Source organism: Homo sapiens, chromosome 1 (assembly GCF_000001405.40).
Source record: "Homo sapiens chromosome 1, GRCh38.p14 Primary Assembly".
Taxonomy (NCBI): Eukaryota; Metazoa; Chordata; class Mammalia; order Primates; family Hominidae; genus Homo; species Homo sapiens.
In genome coordinates this window covers 236,412,096-236,431,820 of record NC_000001.11, presented here as the reverse complement: position 1 = coordinate 236,431,820, position 19,725 = coordinate 236,412,096, and the positions used below count along the sequence as shown (strand labels likewise).

Genomic DNA, 19,725 nt, shown 5'->3' with positions numbered 1-19,725 from the left:
GCCTCCCGAGTAGCTGGGACTACAGGCGCCCGCCACCGCGCCCGGCTAATTTTTTGTATTTTTAGTAGAGACGGGGTTTCACCTTGTTAGCCAGGATGGTCTCGATCTCCTGACCTCATGATCCACCCGCCTCGGCCTCCCAAAGTGCTGGGATTACAGGCGTGAGCCACCGCGCCCGGCCCTGCCTGGGGTCTTAACTTCCACCTCCTCCTCCTGTATTTTTTATGTCCAAGAATACCCAGTTCAGATTGGTCTTAGAGTATATCCTCAATAAATACCAGTTGTAATAAGTTGTAGAAGTTGAATAGTTCTAGTAGATGGGGTATTGATTTTAAATAACTAAAAGTAAAGGGTTCTTTCTGAAATTGCACTTGAAATGTCAGACCTTAATGTTTTGTTTTGTTTAAGAGACAGGTCTTGCTATGTTGCCAGACTAGCCTCAAACTCCAGTTCTCAAGCGATCCTCCCACCTCAGCCTCCTGAGTAGCTGGGACCACAAGCATGCCTGGCTTAGACTTTAATTTTTGACACTAGGACACTATGATGTTTTTCCTCGGCATCACTCGAAAAAGGAAGCTCAAATAAATCCTTAGTAGAAGCAGATTTTAGTCTTAAATTATAAAAATCACTAAAAAGGCAGATAATAATTATTCTAAAGAACATACTTCCAGCTTGCTTTTATTTTATTTATTTATTTATTTATTTTAAGACAGGGTCTCACTCTGTCACCTAGGCTGGAGTGCAGTGGCACAATCTCAGCTCACTGCAACCTCCACCTGCTGGTTCAAGCAATTCTCCTGCCTCAGCCTCCCAAGTAGTTGGGATTACAGGCGCCTGCCACTGCACCCTGCTAATTATTGTAGTTTTAGTAGAGACGGGGTTTCACCATCTTGGCCAGGCTGGTCTTAAACTCCTGACCTCGTGATCCACCTGCCTCAGCCCCACAAAGTGTTGGGATTATAGGCGTGAGCCACCGAGCTCGGCCTCCAGCTTGCTTTTAATGTCTGAACTATAGAATGGAGTGTGTGTTGTTTTCTTCTTTTAAACGTTTCTCCCTGGTGAATTTTCTTTGTTCTAACTGCCAAGTTCATTTCAAAGAATCCTTCTGAGTATCTAGCAGTTAAAACAAATCCTATAGATTATACAAAGAAATAGTCAACGGAAGCAGCCAGCTGCCTATAGTACTACTTTTTATAGGAGAAGAAGACATTTTGTTTTAAAATAGAACTTTAAAAATCTCAAAGAGGTATTTCCCCTATTTTTTTAGTTGATAAATATATTTTCACCTTTTAGGATAGTATTTACTTGATATAGCCAAAATTATAACACTGAAATTAGGAAAAATGCTGAACAGTGTGCTAACATATATTCTGTACCTCATCTTAAGTGGTTTTGGAAAATCCCTAAAAGTAAACTACATGAAAAACTTAGCATTCTTTTATCTTCAAGGAAGTCTACATGTTACCAAAAAAATGTGAGGAGCAAAATTTTGTTTAAAAATTAGGATTATGAGAAGAACAAATTTATACTTTCAGTTTACTAAACTAGTTTAAATTCAGTAAGCACAGAAGCCCATTATTAGATTATAATTTCAAGGAAAATGTTGAGTATCAGGAGTAAAGAGTGAAGTCTGATATTCACAATTAATGGTTGAAAATTCCCCAAAACAAAGTTAAAACTAGCACCACTGACCATTTTCAAGACAGTTATGTGTTTTAATTTAAACTGCTTATTTTATCAACTATTGTGTAACTTCTCTTTCTTACAGAGGTGATTTGACTACCCAGCAATGTTACTATTAAAGACTTTATTACAGAGTGATGTTTTAAAGCAAGACTAGGCAAAACTTGTTACAAATTAACTTGATGTTATATATAGAAGGAGCAGAATTGAATCAGCCTATTTGAGGCAAAACATGCCTTTGAGATACTGAATGCTGTAAATATAGTTAAGCAACTCTGCTAATGAGCTTTGGGAGAGAGAACAGAGGTGGCTTGGACAGTACAAGAAGTAACTGACCAAGGAAGTCCCCAGAAAGATGTATATCAAAAGGTGGAACAGTGGAATGACAGGCAATTCTTAACTTTCTGTGTGTACTTTTTTGCACAACTTGAACTTTAAAATAATGAACATTCTGGCCAGGTGCAGTGGCTCAAGCCTGTAATACCAGCACTTTGGGAGGCCTAGGTGGACAGATCACTTGAGGCCAAGAGTTCGAGACTAGCCTGGCCAACATGGCAAAACCCCGTCTCTACTAAAAATTCAAAAAAAAAAAATTAGCGGGTCATGGTGGCGGGCGCCTGTAGTCCCAGCTACTCGGGAGACTGAGGCAGGAGAATGGCGTGAACCTGGGAGGTGGAGCTTGCAGTGAGCCGAGATCGCACCACTGCACTCCAGCCTGGGTGACAGAGCGAGACTCTGTCTAAAAAAATAAATAAATAAATAAAGTAGCCGGGCATGGTGGCGCGCACCTGTGATCTCAGCTACTCAGGAGGCTGAGGCATGAGAATCTCTTGAACCCAGGAGGCAGAGGTTACAGTGAGCCGAGATCGCACCACTGCACTCCAGAGTGAGACTGCCTCAAAAAAAAAAAAAAAAAAATCTCTCCCTCTCCCGCTCCCGCTCCCTCTCCCTCTGCACAGTCTCCCTCTGATGCCGAGCCGAGGCTGGACTGTACTGCCGCCTCTCCCCTTTGCACGGTCTCCCTCTGATGCCCAGCCGAGGCTGGACTGTACCGATGCCATCTCGACTCACTGCAACCTCCCTGCCTGATTCTCCTGCCTCAGCCTGCCGAGTGCCTGGGATTGCAGGCGCGCGTCGCAACGCCTGACTGGTTTTCGTATTTTTTTGGTGGAGACGGGGTTTCGCCCTGTTGGCCGGGCGTGTCTCCAGCTCCTGACCGCGAGTGATCTGCCAGCCTCGGCCTCCCGAGGCGCCGGGATTGCAGACAGAGTCTCGCTCACTCAGTGCTCAATGTTGCCCAGGCTGGAGTGCAGTGGCGTGATCTCCGCTCGCTACAACCTCCACCTCCCAGCCGCCTGCCTTGGCCTCCCAAAGTGCCGAGATTGCAGCCTCTGCCCGGCCGCCACCCCGTCTGGGAAGTGAGGAGCGTCTCTGCCCGGCAGCCCAGTCTGGGAAGTGAGGAGCGCCTCTTCCCGGCCGCCATCCCGTCTAGGAAGTGAGGAGCGTCTCCGCCCGGCCGCCCATGTCTGGGATGTGGGGAGCGCCTCTGCCCGGCAGCCCAGTCTGGGAAGTGAGGAGTGTCTCTGACTGGCCGCCCCATCTGAGAAGTGAGGAGCCCCTCTGCCCGGCCGCCACCCCGTCTGGGCGGTGTACCCAACAGCTCATTGAGAACAGGCCATGATGACGATGGCGGTTTTGTCGAATAGAAAGGGGTGAAGTGTGGGGAAAAGAAAGAGAGATCGGATTGTTACTGCGTCTGTGTGGAAAGAAGTAGACATAGGAGACTCCATTTTGTTCTGTACTAAGAAAAATTCTTCTGCCTTGGGATGCTGTTAATCTATAACTTTGCCCCCAACCCTGTGCTCTCTGAAACATGTGCTGTGTCCACTCAGGGTTAATTGGATTAAGGGCGGTGCAAGATGTGCTTTGTTAAACAGATGCTTGAAGGCAGCATGCTCCTTAAGAGTCATCACCACTCCCTAATCTCAAGTACCCAGGGACACAAACACTGCAGAAGGCGGCAGGGCCCTCTGCCTAGGAAAACCAGAGACCTTTGTTCACTTGTTTATCTGCTGACCTTCCCTCCACTATTGTCCTATGACCCTGCCAAATCCCCCTCTCTGTGAAACACCCAAGAATGATCAATAAATACTAAAAAAATAAAATAAAATAAAATAAATAAATTAAAAAAATTACAATTAAAAAATATGAATTCTTTTATAATCATAAAACAATAAACATATTTCCTTTTTGGAAAAAGATAATAGAAATAATATGTTAAAGTTTGACTTCTGATATCTAAAAAAATTAAAGTTTAATAAAGCATTACAAGTATTATATTAGAGTATCTAGTTTTGTTGTGCCTTAAAGAATTTGCTCATCCACAGAGTGCCAACTGCATTAGAAAGAAAACAACTCTCCTTTCTAACTCACCAGCATTGATTTTCTGTTGTTGGCATGTAGAAGAGTATTTCAAAGAATGAATGAAAGCTATAATATTTATTAGAAGTAAAAAAGTTCTAAAGATATGCTACCTTACTGGGATGCTTAGAGACCATTTGCAAACCCTGTTTATGATCTAGAAATCCTGTTTTTCATTTTTTATTTGTAAAACTCTATAAATCTCAAAAAATTTTAGGTGGATTATCATGTACCTAAGGGTAAAATATAGTTGAAATTATTCTTACCTGATTTTTCATATCTGAATTTCGTGGGCAGTTCAAAGTAATTGTATCACATTCTTCAGCTAGGAAAAAAAAAAAGAAAGAAAGAAAGAAACAAAGTGTGATTTTAAAAAGCACACACTCCGTGGTGTAAGACCTAAAATTAAGGTTCAGTGTCACATGCTGCCTTGGCATCTGGTAAAATCAGAAGGGCTGGACTACAAATTCCTCTCCAAACTCTGCTCTTAAGGATAAGATCCCCCAGCTAAACAATGCTGCTTATCAAGAGATTAGGCACAATTCCTGCTTATTTTTTATTTATTTTTTTAAAATAAGAGACAGGGGCAGGCGGATCACCTGAGGTTGGGAGCTTGGGACCAGCCTGACCAACATGGAGAAACCCCCGTCTCTACTAAAAATACAAAATTAGCCAAGAGTGGTAGCGCATGCCTGTAATCCTAGCTACTCTGGAGGCTGAGGCAGGAGAATCACTTGAACTCAGGAGACAAAGTTTGCAGTGAGCTGAGACCACGCCATTGCACTCCAGCCTGGAGAACAAGAGCAAAACTCCGTCTCAAAAAAATAAAAATAAGAGACAGAGGGTCTCACTCTGTCATCCAGGCTGGAGTGCATCTCACAGTAACTTGGAACTCCTAGGCTCATGTGATCCTCCCACCTCAGCCTCCCAAGTATCTGGGAAGATAGGCATGTGCCACCACACCAAGCTAAGTAAGATATAGGGCCTCACTGTGTTGTCCATGCTGGTTTTGAACTCCTGGCCTCAAGTGATTCTCCTGCCTTGGCCTCCCAAAGTGTTGGGATTACTAGTGTGAGCCACTGTGACTGCCCCCTGCTTATTTTTTGGGTAGTGGGTTTCAGTTTCCTACCAACATGTGGAATTATTCAAACAGGCTGATCACGAACTCACATGGGAACCAGAAGGCAGCCTACCCTTTTGATGCCACAATGTTTGTCTCACACAGCCCATGGTTTTTTGCTCTGCTCTCAAGTACAACATCTGTGTCCCCCTGCGTGGCTCTGTGTGATGGGCAGTGTCCTCCTCCCCTGGGCTGTGCATATATGTGACTCATAAACTGCTGCTGATCTTGTCTCTCCAGTGTTGGATGTGTGTGTTTGTCCATCCCCATAATCCTAGAGCAGGGGTGAGGAGAAGGTGATCAAAACAACTGGCATGATAGCCAGGAGTGGTGGCTCACGCCTGTAATGACAGCTATTCAGGAGGCTGAGGCAGGAGGAGCACTTGAGGCAGGAGTTTAAGAGCAGCCTGGGCAACCCAGTGAGACCCAGTCTCAAAAAACTTAAAAATTAGCCAGGCATGCTGGTGTGTGCCTGTAGTCCCAGCTACTTGGGAGGCTGAGAGAGGAGGATCACTTGAGCCCAGGAGTTCAAGGCTGCAGTGAGCTCTGATCGATCATGCCACTGCACTCCAGCCTGGGGGACAGAGTGAGACCCTGTCTCCAAAAATAAAAAAATAAAAAAAAAAGATAAGAAAAATAAAAGAAAAGAAACAACTGGCATAATGAACAGGATGACCCAACCACAATCAAGGACATTTGGTCAGATTTCATTAACTGCTCTCGGCTAACCAACTTCACTAATACCACGCAGGCTGCCTGGGATAGAATTGACAATTACTGGAAGATTTGCACTCTGGCCTATGCAATGCTGTGTTGTCTTTGTTGATTGTTTGGTATCTCATCCCAAGATGAAAACTGTTGTGAACTGACTGGACCCCAGAGCTGTCAGTTTGGGCCTGTGTTTGGCAGGTGGTCTCTTGAGGCTCCCATCTGTAAAGACGGTGGTAGCACATCCCCCTAACCGGTTGCTGCTTAAGTCCCACTTATCAAGGGACAGGTGCAAGCTCTCTTAGCAATACAACTAGCTTGGTGACCATCACTGGCCACTTGGGGCAGCTGTACAGGCACTGTTTGTGAAGTGCATCCCCAGGTCAGCCACGGGGGCGGTCCTTTGCAGACAGAGGTTTGCAGAAAGGAAGGAGAGAGACCAGGGAGTTCCCCAGGGGAGTTTCCCTGGTGCCCTGGTTGCTGCTAAGGCAAAGGCAGTGACCCTGCCCATCCCCTCAGCTGCTGCTTCCCTTGCTGCTGCCCATGTGTTCTCCTGACCCCCAGGGGCATCGAGGTACACAGCCATGGCAGTCTGTGGCCCAGGTGCTAATGAAGAAAGAAAACGGGAAAAAGCATTTGGTACTCAACTGCTCTCTCGGCACAGAGCCCCTGGCGAGCGCACCCAGCTGTGCTTAGCGCTGCTGCTTCCAACACGCCAAAGAGCTCATCTTGCCATAGTGGGTTTAATGTCCCCACTTGGGCCACAGACAAAACCACCTGGCTGGATGAGGACCCCATCCCCAGGGAGACCGACTGGTATTCCCTGGAGGAAGAGGTGGCTGCCTGCGACGGGGGCCACCTGGCTCCCAACACTTTGCTCGTAACCTCCCAGAAGGTCCCTTGGGACATATGGAGACAAAAACTGAAAGCCACAACTTTATGTGGCTAGAAATCCAAAATATTCTGAGGGCATTTGTACAAGACAGGAAAAAATCCATAAACAAATTAGTTAATTAATTAAGGAAAACCCTCATGGCAGAAAAGACAAAGTTGTAGCAGAGTCCCTCCACCTCTGGGTTATAGGCCAGCACTCTTCCATTGGGCTGGACCACGCTGCAGCTTATGCCCCTGTTGCAGCAAAGATCCTGATCCTCAGAGTTGTAGGGAAAACTCCTAGTAGCCCCGGGGCACAGTAAAAGGGTTAATTCACCCTGACACAAGCCCACAGTTTTTAAACTATATGAGAGCAACCACTGCCACAGGGAAGGCCCCACCCCTGATGATACTGATTTGAGGTTCTCTGGGGGAAGAAATTTATCAATATGAGCAGAGTAGAGAAGACTGCCCCTGCCAAAAGTATATCCAGTGACCATAAAAAGGGAATGAAAGAAAGATAAAAAGAAACCTGGACACAAAGGAGAAGACAGGTTGGGTGTGGTGGCTCACACCTGTAATCCCAGCACTTTGGGAGGCCAAGATGGGAGGGTTGCTTGAGGGCCCAGAGTTCAAAATCAGCCCAGGCAACACAGTAAGACCCTATCTCTACAAAAAGTTTAAAAATTAGCTGGGCATGGTGTCACATGCCTATCGTCCCAGCTATTTGGGAGGCTGAGGTGGGAGGATCACTTGGCTCCCAGAGGTCAAGGCTGCAGTGACCCATGATCACACCACCGCACCCCAGCCCTGAGTGACAGAGCAACGTCCTGTTCCAAAAAAAAAAAAAAAAAAAAAAAAGATGCTTCACAGTGGATTACTACAATTTTATTTTATTTATTTATTTTTTGAGACGGAGTCTTGTTCTGTCACCCAGGCTGGAGTGCAGTGGTGCGATCTCAGCTCACTGCAACCTCCATTTCCCAGGTTTGAGTGATTCTCCTACCCTAGACTCCCAAGAAGCTAGGATTACAGGTGCCGACCACCACGCCCGGCTAATTTTTGTATTTTTAGTAGAGACAGGGTTTCACCATGTTGTCCCAGCTGGTTTTGAGCTCCTGACCTCAAGTGATCTGCCCACCTCGGCCTCGCAAAGTGCTGGGATTACAGGTGTGAGCCACCGCATCTAGCCAGATTACTACACTTTTACTGCTGTGGTCTCATCCCTTAAGGCTTCCATACCCCATGCCTAAAATGATTGGAAAACACTGACTCCATCCAATTAGTGACTAGAAAATATTTTGCTATTACAGATTTGCCTAATATGTTCTGTTCAGTGACTATCTCAATAGTCTCTCAATCAAAGTTTGCCTTCATCTGCAAACGGACATGATATATCTTTACAAGGCACCCATGGGGCATTTCAAGAGCCTGGTCATCACACACAGGCTTTGCAGGCAAGATCTAACTGCATCCTACTTTCTCAGTCTCATGAGTGTGATGACATTACATGGATGAGATCCTCCTCTGAGGACATTCTCACTTGACATTTTCATGCAGGCCACGGAATACAGTACTCACAACAATGCTCACGGAAAGAGATGGGCCACTGCCCCACACATAGCGCAAGGCCCTGCCACCTTGGTGAAATTCCTAAAAATTACTTGGTAAACTAAGGGCTGCTCCCACCCAGACACTGTCAATAAATAGCTATTGACCCTCTCTGCACCCACAATGTGAATACAAGTCTAGTATATTTTTAGCTCTTTTTTGGGTTCTGGTGGCAACATATTTCTCATTTACAAATTTAATCTCATTGATGCCAGTACTTGCAAGTCAGCTCAATGTAAATTTGGGCCCCTCCAATAAAAGTCTACAACAGGCAGTCCCACTAGGACCCCCAGAGATTTCTGGAGCTTCAGCAACCTCCTCTCATTCCTCCTGAAGTCTCTGGACCACCCACGATAGCTGAAAGTTGTCCACAGGCTTTTGATGCAAGAAACTGCCCTCCCAGGCCCTGTTCTACACATTATTAGAGCAGCAACTGCTAGCTGCATACTGGGCTCTCTTGGAAATAGAGGCTGTCATTAAACACTAGCTGTGACCCTCCATACTGCGCTGTCCATTATGCCTTGGGTCATGGAAGCAAAATCCTGGAAGCTCCGCATGGTTACCAAGGCCTCCTTGATACAGGATGGAGCTAAACCCGGGCACTCTGGCATGTTCCATCTGCAGGAAGGGGTGGCTTCCCCCATCCCTCACCAGAGCCCATAGTGCTGGAAAAAGTCACCCCTCTTGCAGACTCCTAGGTTATCTGGGGAGCCCCTTCAAAGCAACTGAGTGAAGAGCAATGGGAATTTGTAGACTTTACAGATGACATCACCCCCATCATACACGATGAAGCTCAGCAGACAGTTGCTGCTTTCCATCCCTTAACCAGGATATCCCTGATAAAGGAAGGACCCAAGATTAGCAAAACTGGCCAAACTTCAGGCAGTCATCTTATTGCTGGATGTCCTGGCCAACAAATCGCCCCATCTGCACAGTTTTTATAAATTTTTGGACCATTGCCTAAGAGTTGCACCCTTTGTGGTAAAGAACTCTCAGAATCTCTTGCCTCAAATACACCCAAACTATAAATAAAGAAACAGATGTCTCTATGTACAGCAAGGCCACCATACAAGGCTTCAGCAGAACATTTCCAGTCTCCTTTGGAGTCCCACTTATTACTGACAGTGAGCAAGACACTCATTTCTCTTCTAAGAACATACAACGCCAGGCTCTTAAGCCATTCAATGAAACTTCCACCTCCCCTCTCATATCAGGCAGCAGGTTCGATTGAGAGGCATAATGAAATCTTCAAGAAACTCCTATGTAAGTTACTGGGTGTCACTATTGTCACAGGCCTTAATGAATCTAAATCCACAACCTCTGGAGACATGTACTCCCTACACCAATGCCACACGGGTTCCTCAACTGCCTTTACTGGCCATCAGGGGGACACCTCTAAAGTTCCTGTTTTTGATGACCATCTCACCATGTGGCCCTCTCCCTCCTGGTCAAGTGCCTTCCTTGCTTCTTAGTGGGGCACTTCTATTCCCTAGAAGTCTCAGCCATCATTAAGGTTTAAATTTATGCCATGGCATCTAGGGGTGAACTGTTGTATAAGACCTAACATTGAGACTCAATTTATGTGCTGCCTTGACATTGGTAGAACTGGGAAGGGCTCACACCTGTAATCCCAGCACTTTGGGAGGCCAATGCGGGTAGATCACCTGAGGTCAGGAGTTAGAGACCAGTTAGAGGTTAGGTTAACATGGTGAAACCCCATCTTTACTAAAAATACAAAACTTAGCCAGGCGTGGTGGCGGGCATCTGTAATCCCAGCTACACAGGAGGCTGCGGCAGGAGAATGGCTTGAACTTGGGAGGCAGAGGTTGCAGTGAGCCGAGATTGAGCCACTGCACCCCAGCCTGGGCGACAGAGTGAGACTCTGTCTCAAAAAAAAAAAAAAAAAAAAAAAAAAGAACTGGGAAGGTCTTGAATGGCCTAACCACAAGTCTCCTTCCCACTCTGCTCCCATGGCCAAAGTCCCCTAGCCAAACAACGCCCCTTACCAAGGGGACCACGCACAGTCCTTGTTCTCTTTTTGTAATGGGCTTCATTTCCCCTGATTCCATGGACTTAACTCAAACAAGCCAATCACATCCTGACAACCAGGAGGCACCCCACTTGCTTAATACCATAAAGCCTGTCTGACAGCCCCTTGTTGTTTGCTCTGCTCCTAAGTGCAACCTCCATGTGGCCCTGCATGACGCACAGTGTCCTCCCCTCCTGGACTGAGTATACATGACTCATAAATTCCTGTCGATCTCATCTGTTAAGTGTTGAGTGTCATGTGTTTGGCCATCCCTGTAACCCTAAGATGGAATCCCTCCCTCACCAACAGGGTGAAGAGGAGACAATCAAAACACATTCTCCTGGCAGGGCACAGTGGCTCACACCTGTAATCCCAGCACTTTGGGAGGCCGAGACAGGTGGATCACCTGAGGTCAGGACTTCGAGACCAGCCTGGCCAACATGGTGAAACCACATCTCTACTAGAAATACAAAAATTAACTTGGTGTGGTGGCGGGTGCCTGTAATCTCAGCTACTCAGGAGGCTGAGGCAGGAGAATTGCTTGAACTCAGGAGTGCAGTGAGCCGAGACCGTGCCACTGCACTCCAGCCTAGGTGACAGAGCGAGACTCCATCTCAAAAAAAAAATTCTCCCCTGATTAACAACGTGATATCAAATTCCAGTGTGTTCATTCGTCTGTCATTTTACTAAGCCTTTCAGACAGTAGAGAGTGGGATTATACTTGTCCCAACAGCTCACCCTCCTAAAGGTCAAACCTAAACCATTTTGGTTCTCTTGTTCAAGTTCAGGTTGCCAGTGAAAAGCAAAGGAACTTGAAATTCATGTTAAACATTTAACATCTTTCCATATGAATTGCTAGGAAGCAACTTCCATTCCAAAGTTGTGTTAACTTCACAGTTTTCCCACCTGTGGTGAAGATGGTACAAAATAGCTTAAAAACTGATTTTGTTCCATCAGATTCTAATCTTTAGTCACAGAATTCAAGGCCATACTCTAAACTTTAAGGTTGGCAGAAATATATTATAACAGAAATTTTAGCACCATGTAAATGTTTAAAGTTATTTAGCCTTAAATACAGAACCATTTAACTCAGGGTTGAAAAGTCAGGATGAAGTGAGGGATTGATTGATTAAGCCATTTGATTTTTACCTTCATTAGCAGTCTTTTTATTTTATGTATTTATTTATTTTGAAACAAAGTCTCACTTTGTTGTCCAGGGTGGAGTGCAGTGGCATGATCTCAGCTCTCTGCAATCTCTGCCTCCCAGGTTCAAGCGATTCTCGTGCCTCAGCCACTCCAGTATCTGGGATTACAGGTGCGTGCCACCACCACACCTGACTAATTCTATTTTTGTATTTTTAGTAGAGACGGGGTATCGCCATGTTGACCAGGCTGGTCTGGAACTCCTGGCCTCGAGTAATCCACCCGCCTTGGCCTCCCAAAATGCTGGGATTACAGGCGCGAGTCACCGTCCATGCATTAGCATTCATTCACCTATTATGCGCTGAGCTGCTAGATTGGTTCAAATAAGGGACCATGTATATTCATTGTCTCACACACAATTCTGACTGGAATAAAAGACTTTCTTTTCATAATAGTATTATCTGGGAAACTGAAGCTAAAAGTGTGGTCTTTGCCTGAGGCTGTGTATGTTATCTTTTTACAGCTAGAGCGGTCACCATCTGACCCAGGCTTGCCTCGCTCTCAGCTCTCCTGCCTGTCAGTCAGAGTGCTGAGCTCTCCCCCAGACCGCCTTAGTTGGAATCTCCAGGGGCCCAGAAGTCTGCGTTGTTGACAAGCATCCCCACATTCTGATGCACACTGAAGTGTCATTCGTCACAGCCCAACGTAATAGGTGTGTGACTTCAATCACAGTCATCCCCACAATGTCAAAATTATTAACCCAGATTTCTTTAAAGTGCTTTTTTCCCACTACGAGAAGTTGAGTTTTTTGTTTTGTTTTAGTTTTGTTTTTGTTGAGATGGGGGCTCACTGTTGCCCAAGCTGTAGTGCAGTGGTGCAATTATAGCTATAGCTCACTGCAGCCTCGAACTCCCAGGCTCAAACGATCCTCCAGCCTAAGCCTCCCACGTAGCTGGGACTACAGGTGTGCACCACTACACTCAGCTAATTAACTTTTTTTTTCTTTTTGGAGCGATAGGAGTCTCACTATGTTGCTCAGGCTGGTCTGAAACTCCTAGTCTCAAGTGGTCCTCCTGCCTCGGCCTCTTGAAACACTGGCAAAGAACTTGAATTTAACAGCGACTTTTCTCAGGTGGCTTTCCAAATGCTCCCATGGTCATAGTCCTCTCCGTCCCCTCTATCCTCTTATGCACAAAAGATTAAAAAATGTTTTGGAGAGTTGTTACCATTGTATTCTTGCCATGACTGGGAGGGGAGGGCAGGTTGGTTTTTAGTTTACTGTAACAGAAGATTCCCAAGAGGGTCTCTGTCAAGGCTTGGGGAGCGGGGGCGGGGAGTGTATTTATTGAACAAGCGGGATGAGAACACAGAGCAAACCACACAGGTGGGAGGATGAGGAGTTTCCCGTGGGAACAGGGACAACTCTTCACATGGCATCATTATCAATCCGTGAGGTAGGAAATCATATCAAATACAACATATTGGCTTCCTAGTTTTAGGACAGACCTTTCTACTTTTGAATTATTTAGTGATTTCCTAGTACTTGTTTGTTTTCTCTTCACGTGTTCAAACTGAACTACTTCTACATTTAATTAACACGTTGTTCTAAAAGGCACCCCCAAACAGCATCTATATTTAAGTTCAAGTTCCTCAGACTTCTTAAGGGTAGCATTAGTCTACCTTACTTTGGCTGGGTGCGGTGGCTCACGCCTGTAATCCCAACACTTTAGGAGGCCGAGGTGGATGGATCGCTTGAGGTCAGGAGTTCGAGACCAGCCTGGCCAACATGGTGAAACCCCATTTCTACTAAAAATACAAAAATTAGCTGGGTGTGGTGGTGGTCGCCTGTAGTCCCAGCTACTCAGGAGGCTGAAGTGAGAGAATTGCTTGAGCCTGGGAGGCAAAGGTTGCAGTGAGTCGAGATCATGCCACTGCACTCTAGCCTGGGTGACAGAGCAAGACTCAGAAAAAAAGAAAAGAGGCCGGGCGCGGTGGCTCACGCCTGTAATCCCAGCACTTTGGGAGGCCGAGGCAGGTGGATCATGAAGTCAGGAGATCGAGACCATCCTGGCTAACACGGTGAAACCCCGTCTTTACTAAAAATACAAAAAATTAGCTGGGCGTGGTGGTGGGCGCCTATAGTCCCAGCTATTCGGGAGGCTGAGGCAGGAGAATGGCGTGAACTTGGGAGGCAGAGCTTGCAGTGAGCCGAGATCGCACCACTGCACTCCAGCCTGGGCGACAGAGCGAGAATCCGTCTCAAAAAAAAAGAAAAAAAGAAAAGAAGAGAAAAAAAAAAAGTCTACCTTACTTCTCTTTAACTTCTAAATACACTATAACATTTTTTTGAATAATCAAAGAAAAGAGCAGGGACACGAGAGAAAATGAAGATGATAAAATCTTGTTAGATTCGTGTATTTAAGTGTAATTTTCTTCCATTACAAATAGTGGCTCAAAAATCAAAATTCCTTTTCCAAACACATTTTTCTCTCGAAAATGTGAACAGTCACATTTTCTTCAGAACAATCAAGCAGCAGCTTCTGCGAGATACTGGGAATCACGTGATGGAAAATAAACCTCAATCTCACCAGTTCTTAGTACCCGCAGACTCACAGAACAGCCATCAGAAAAGAGCCCCAAACCAAATGAACCCCCAAAAACTGTAAAATCAGGGGGTGGCTGCTTGAGGTGGAAGTTCTGCATTTATGCCCTATGAGAAAACAGATATAATTTATATCAACACATTTCACCTCAAAAACAGATGCTGACAAATGAAATTACACTAGATTTCCACAGCTGATTATTAAAACCACATTATTCAAAACCAATCTATTCTGGCCACTGTTAAAGGTTTATACTCTCTGTGAATGAAGTAGGAATATGTTAGCAGTATGTAAGAGATTTTGTGAAACTCTTAACGCTAATTACAAATGATGCTTCTAGTAAATAAAGCTGGCCTCCTTAAAACTCACTTAAACGTTGGCGTCCTAGTCTTTCCTTTATAGAATTAAATTACAATTGCTTTTAAGTCTATAAATCAGTCTCTTCGTTAATTCACGTGGATTTTTCTTTCCCTGAAAACAACTTATTTATTTATTTATTTATTTATTTATTTTTGAGACAGGGTCTCATTCTGTTACCCAGGCTGGGGTGTAGCCCAGGAAGTTCATGCCTCACTGCAGCCTCAACCTCCCAGGCTCAGGTGATCCTCCCACCCCAGCTTCCCTGGTAGCTGGGATTACAGGCACATGTCACCACGCCCAGCTAATTTTTTATATATTTTTGTAGAGATGGGGTTTCGCCATGTTGCCCAGGCTGGTCTTGAACTCCTGGAGTCAAGTGTGAGCCATGGCACCCGGCCATAAACAACTTTAATGAGAAAATTACCACAATGTCTAATGATAGTATTGGTCCCACTAGTGACATCAAAGAAAAATGCTAGCAGACATCAAGTTGTTATATTGTTGAGCGCAAATGTAGGAGTAAGTTTTTAAACTTCTAGACATGGTTCATTTACATATAAAATGATGTATTCATTTGGAGATAAGAAATTATGCACTTAATAATAATGTTCACTCCAATCTGTTCCTTGATCTAAGAAAAAAATACTATTCAGCATGAATAAGGACAAAGGGAAGACCTAGGGTATGGTTTTCACATTCACGTTACTTATAAATTCATTAAGATTTTTGTAGAACTCAAATTCTAGGAGAAATCTGATAATACAATTACTGTAGTATCAGGTTGCTAAGCAACAATCTTTTTCTTTCAAAACAGGAAATCACACTTAAGAGTGACAAAAAAAGATATTGAGCCTGATGGCACCACGACATTCAATGCTAGGGCCATTACAGCTCCGTCTTTTTCTAAGACAGTTTCACTTTGCCATTCTGACTGAAGGCTTGATTTTAAGCTTGATTTTTCACACTTCTTCGGCTGGATTTCCCTGCACCCCTGTCTGGTGTTCACAAGTGCCAGGCACCATTCTCGATTTATTTCACTGAATTCTCACCAGCACCCTGGGAGGTGGACGGTAACCTTGTCCTCCCCGCTGTGCTGAGGAGGAAACAGAGACCCTGAGACCTGAAGCCACTTGCTGAGGCCACTCACAGCCTTTTTGGACAGAAAAGAAAGGACACTCTAATGGTGTCATTTCAGGGAGCAGGGAGAAGGGTCTGGAATAGTAGGGGGAGAAGAGGAGGAGAGCTTTGGCCAAACTCTGGACAGGTTGGCCCTGGGGATCTCTCTACGATTATCCACTACCATGAGAACTGCTGGGGAGACTCACGTTAGTGCGTGCTGGGCAGGCCTACCCCTCCATGGTGACCAGGATGCCAGGTGCCCCTGCCATCTCTGAAACTAGTCAGATCTGATTGTCCCCAACTCCACCCCATCCCACCCCTCATCTCTGGATTGTCAGCAGACTACAAGGTAGAGGCCCCACTGTGACAACCTGCAACTTGGCCTCCATAAAGGAACACAGGGCCCAGGTGCAGTGGGTGGCTCATGCCTGTAATCCCAGCTCTTTGGGAGGCCAAGGCAGGTGGATCATCTGAGGTCAGGAGTTCAAGACCAGCCTGACCAACATGGTGAAACCCCGCCTCTACTAAAAATACAAAATTAGCCGGGTGTGGTGGCAGGCACCTGTAATCCCAGCTACTTGGAAGGCTGAGGGAGGAGAATCGCTTGAACCCGGGAGGCAGAGGTTGCAGTGAGCCAAGATTGAGCCATTGCACTCCAGCTTGGGCAACAAGAGTGAAACTCTGTCTCAAAAAATAATAATAATAAAAAAGGAACATAGCCCTGCTGACCACCCAGCAGGAGAGGTTATGGAAGGCTAGGGTCTAGCCACCCCTATGGTCTGCACCATGCCTAAAGCATAAGTGTATGGGTTATCAAAGATAGCTTTTTTAGTTTGCTTTTGGGCCTAACAAGCATCCCTCACCCCTTTGTCTAGCCACAGAACAGTGGTTTGGGCAAAATCCACTCCATGACCCTCCTCCCCGACCCGATCTCAAGGCTCAGACCTGGCCAATGTCCTCCATCCTCCTGATGACAATAGCTGATTTAAGGATGGCCACATGACCTGAACTGCCACAATCACAATCATCTCTAAAATTGTGCTATCCGTGCTGGTGGAAAGGCTCCCTCTTCCTCCACCACCTTGAGAACGCCATCTAAAGCAAGAGGCGCTAGTAATCATCTTTCCCTCCACGGGGGGAAATCCTGCCCAAGAATGGAGCCAACATGGAAGAAGACAGAGCCATGAGATGGACTCAGCCTGACAGCCTCACTTAGATGCTTGGATGCAGCAGGGCCCAAAGACCCCAAAGTCAGCAAGTTCCCACTTTTTTTTTCTTTTTTTTGAGATGGAGTTTGTTGCCCAGGCTGGAGTGCAGTGGTGCGATCTTGGCTCACTGCAACCTCTGCCTCCCAGGTTCAAGCGATTCTCCTGCCTCAGCCTCCTTAGTAGCTGGGATTACAGGTGCCTGCCACCACGCCCACACCATACCTCAGGCTATCCACCTGCCTCGGCCTCCCAAAGTGCAGGGATTACAGGTGCGAGCCACCGCGCCTGGCCAGTTCCCGCTTTTTAAACAAATTAGTGTTAGATTTCTCTCCCTTTGCAACCCAAAGTCCCAGCTGTCTTCATTTTATGCCTGTTAAAAACACCACAGGAATTTAACGCATAATTTGTTATGGAATAATTTACAGTTTTTAATAAGAAAATTCATTTCTATTGCAAGGTTAAAAGATACTATTTAAAAAAGAAAAAAATTAATTTCTGAGACAATTATGTCACAAGTCACGAGCTAATCTATGGGCATGTTTCTACTTTACAATTTTAAATAATGAAAAATTAGGTCGACTAGTGCTTTGTTCACAATATTAAAATAATCACATGTTCAAGTAGTTATTTTAACTGTACATACCTTTAGGGAGTTCCGTATCTTGAATGGGATATTTGTCTGACTGTAGAAACCAACAAAAGAGGAGAATTATTTTTAAATGCCATGTAAGATCAAAGTGAAAAGAAAGCTTTGTCTTGGGAAAGTTATGACTTCAATTAAAAACTTGAAAATGTTTAACCTCAAACTTATCAACTGGCCTTATCCATTGATTGTGTTTATTCTCAGTCGACAGGAATGAAATCAAGGTTGACAAGAGGTTAATGCTGGAACATGAAACAGAATAAGGCTTCCAAATTTCCACAGCTTGGACCACGAAACTACACTTCCTCTCTTTTCTGCAGTGCTAGCCTCCTGCAGTTTACAATTGAGGAGCATTTGTTGTCATGAATTATGAGGACAGATGCATTTCTTCTCACCGTTTCTGCAATAGTCACTGGGGTCAATAAGCATGTGTTCTGGGCAGTACTCACTATTGCAGAGCTCTGGCCTGGGTCGACTGAGACAGGATGATTCAAAAGATCCCTTCCCTACTGACTGCACAAAGATCTAAAAATCAGTAATTATGCAGAATTCAGCACAGTTCCTCAATGCATCAGTTGAGAGTAATACTGTTACAGGAATTCAAAATAGCAAATGTTCTCACAATCACATATATTTCTTTTCATTTATTCATACTTACATGCCGATATCTAAAGTTCCGGAAACTTATTTCAGACTAAACAATGTAGCCATTTCTGAAAACGTCCATGAGAGGAATGAAAAGGAGCCTAATTTCCCAACCCTGTCCCCTAACCCCTGCTCAGCTCCCAACTCCACTCAGCCCTGTCCTTCAGCCTGAACAAAATTACACCTGAACAATTTCCTGTAGCTCTCCACCCATGTCTTCCTCCAAGAGAGGAGAGAGAGAAAGAAATGGAGAATCGAGGGTTTTGTTTTAAGTGCCTTTCCTGGGAGTTTCTTTGGAGCTGGGCAGTAAAGTTTTAAAACTTCTAGAAGCCTCCAACCTCTCCCAACAAAAATAAATTAGTAAATAAAAATTAATCACACAGAATAGTCCTACAGTTCTACCCCAGATCAAATTAGTTCTCATCATTCTACTCCCAAGACCGAGGAACACAAACCTGTACTAGAACATTTATCACTCTGTTTCAAAAAGAGGCTGGGTGCGGTGGCTCACGCCTGTAATCCCAGCACTTTGGGAGGCTGAGGCAGGCAGATCACCTGAGATCAGAAGTTCAAGACCAGCCTCGCCAACATGGTGAAACCCCATCTCTACTAAAAATACAAAAATTAGCTGGGCATGGTGGCCCGTGCCTGTAATCCCAGCTGCTCAGGAGGCTGAGTTACGAGAATTGCCCCAGGAGGCGGAGGTTGCAGTGACCTGAGATCGTGCCATCGCACTCCAGCCTGAGCAACGGAGCAAGAGTTGGTCTCAAAATAAATAAATAAATAAAAATAAACAGTACTTGTCTATTTCCTCAGATAGACTGAGTTTTCCCAGAGATGGAATTACAATCTGTGCATTCCCAGATTGTAACATAGTTTTAAGTAAACATCCACTGAAAGTCTGCATGGAAGAACACAGAAGCCAGAGCAAGTTCAGGGCTCCTAGAAAGACGATGCTGGAGCTAGCCCTAGAGAATGGCTGAGAATTGGATGAACTCAGAAGAAGCAGCAAAGTAGTTGCTGGTGGCAGGCATGGCAGGAGAAGGGATCAGGTGGCTGGAAGAGCGGAGGGTATAGAACTGAAACAGAGAGTCTGTTGGAGGTGGACAGAGGAAGGCGGGATTAGATGAGAAATGACGGACCCAGTTTCTAAGAAAGACCAAGAAAGATAAGCAAAGGGATTTAGGTGGGATGCCCTTCTAGGTTCTCGGGAAACTTGCTACCTGCCTTGCACTGACTTTGCATGAGGGAAGATGGTCAACACAGTCTTGCAAGAAGTCAGACAAGCAGGCAATGACAATTCTCTGAGATGGCAAATAGGGATTGGGCTACGGAGAAGGGAGCACCTGAAAGTCCCAAGGCAAGTAAGGCTTTGTAGATCAGGGGAATACTTGAAGTGAGATGGGAAGAAGCACAGGAGTTCATTAGGTAAAGATGCAGGGAGATTTTCCTTGCCAGAGGGAACAGCATTATTGCTACCCTGGGAGGGTGAGAGGGCATGGCGTATTAAGAAGCACCACACAGCTACACAGGGCTGGGTCAGCAGGTGAGCAGTGGAT

General features: G+C 45.3%; 1 protein-coding gene across 3 annotated transcripts in view, besides 3 other annotated features; it reads right to left on the bottom strand.

Moving 5' to 3' along the window:
- EDARADD (EDAR associated via death domain) overlaps nt 1-19,725 on the bottom strand; it is a 136,672-nt gene that overhangs the window by 53,110 nt on the left and 63,837 nt on the right. For all 3 annotated transcript variants that reach the window (NM_001422628.1, NM_145861.4, NM_080738.5), the window contains 2 exons: nt 17,522-17,561; nt 4,371-4,429 (listed from right to left, as the gene is read on the bottom strand). In NM_001422628.1, the coding sequence (NP_001409557.1) occupies nt 4,371-4,429; nt 17,522-17,561 (99 nt within the window). The remainder of the gene's footprint in view (nt 1-4,370; nt 4,430-17,521; nt 17,562-19,725) is intronic.
- Nucleotides 6,350-6,669: an enhancer, noted in NCBI's record as "active region_2824". NCBI's record gives its function as "activates an Ori minimal core promoter by ATAC-STARR-seq in GM12878 lymphoblastoid cells {active_cell/tissue: GM12878}" and the evidence as "EXISTENCE:reporter gene assay evidence [ECO:0000049][PMID:35858748]".
- Nucleotides 6,350-7,098: a biological region, named in NCBI's record as "H3K4me1 hESC enhancer GRCh37_chr1:236588023-236588524".
- Nucleotides 6,597-7,098: an enhancer, noted in NCBI's record as "H3K4me1 hESC enhancer chr1:236588023-236588524 (GRCh37/hg19 assembly coordinates)". NCBI's record gives its function as "activates a minimal SCP1, AML or CMV promoter by ChIP-STARR-seq in naive H9 embryonic stem cells {active_cell/tissue: H9 hESC(naive)}" and the evidence as "EXISTENCE:reporter gene assay evidence [ECO:0000049][PMID:30033119]".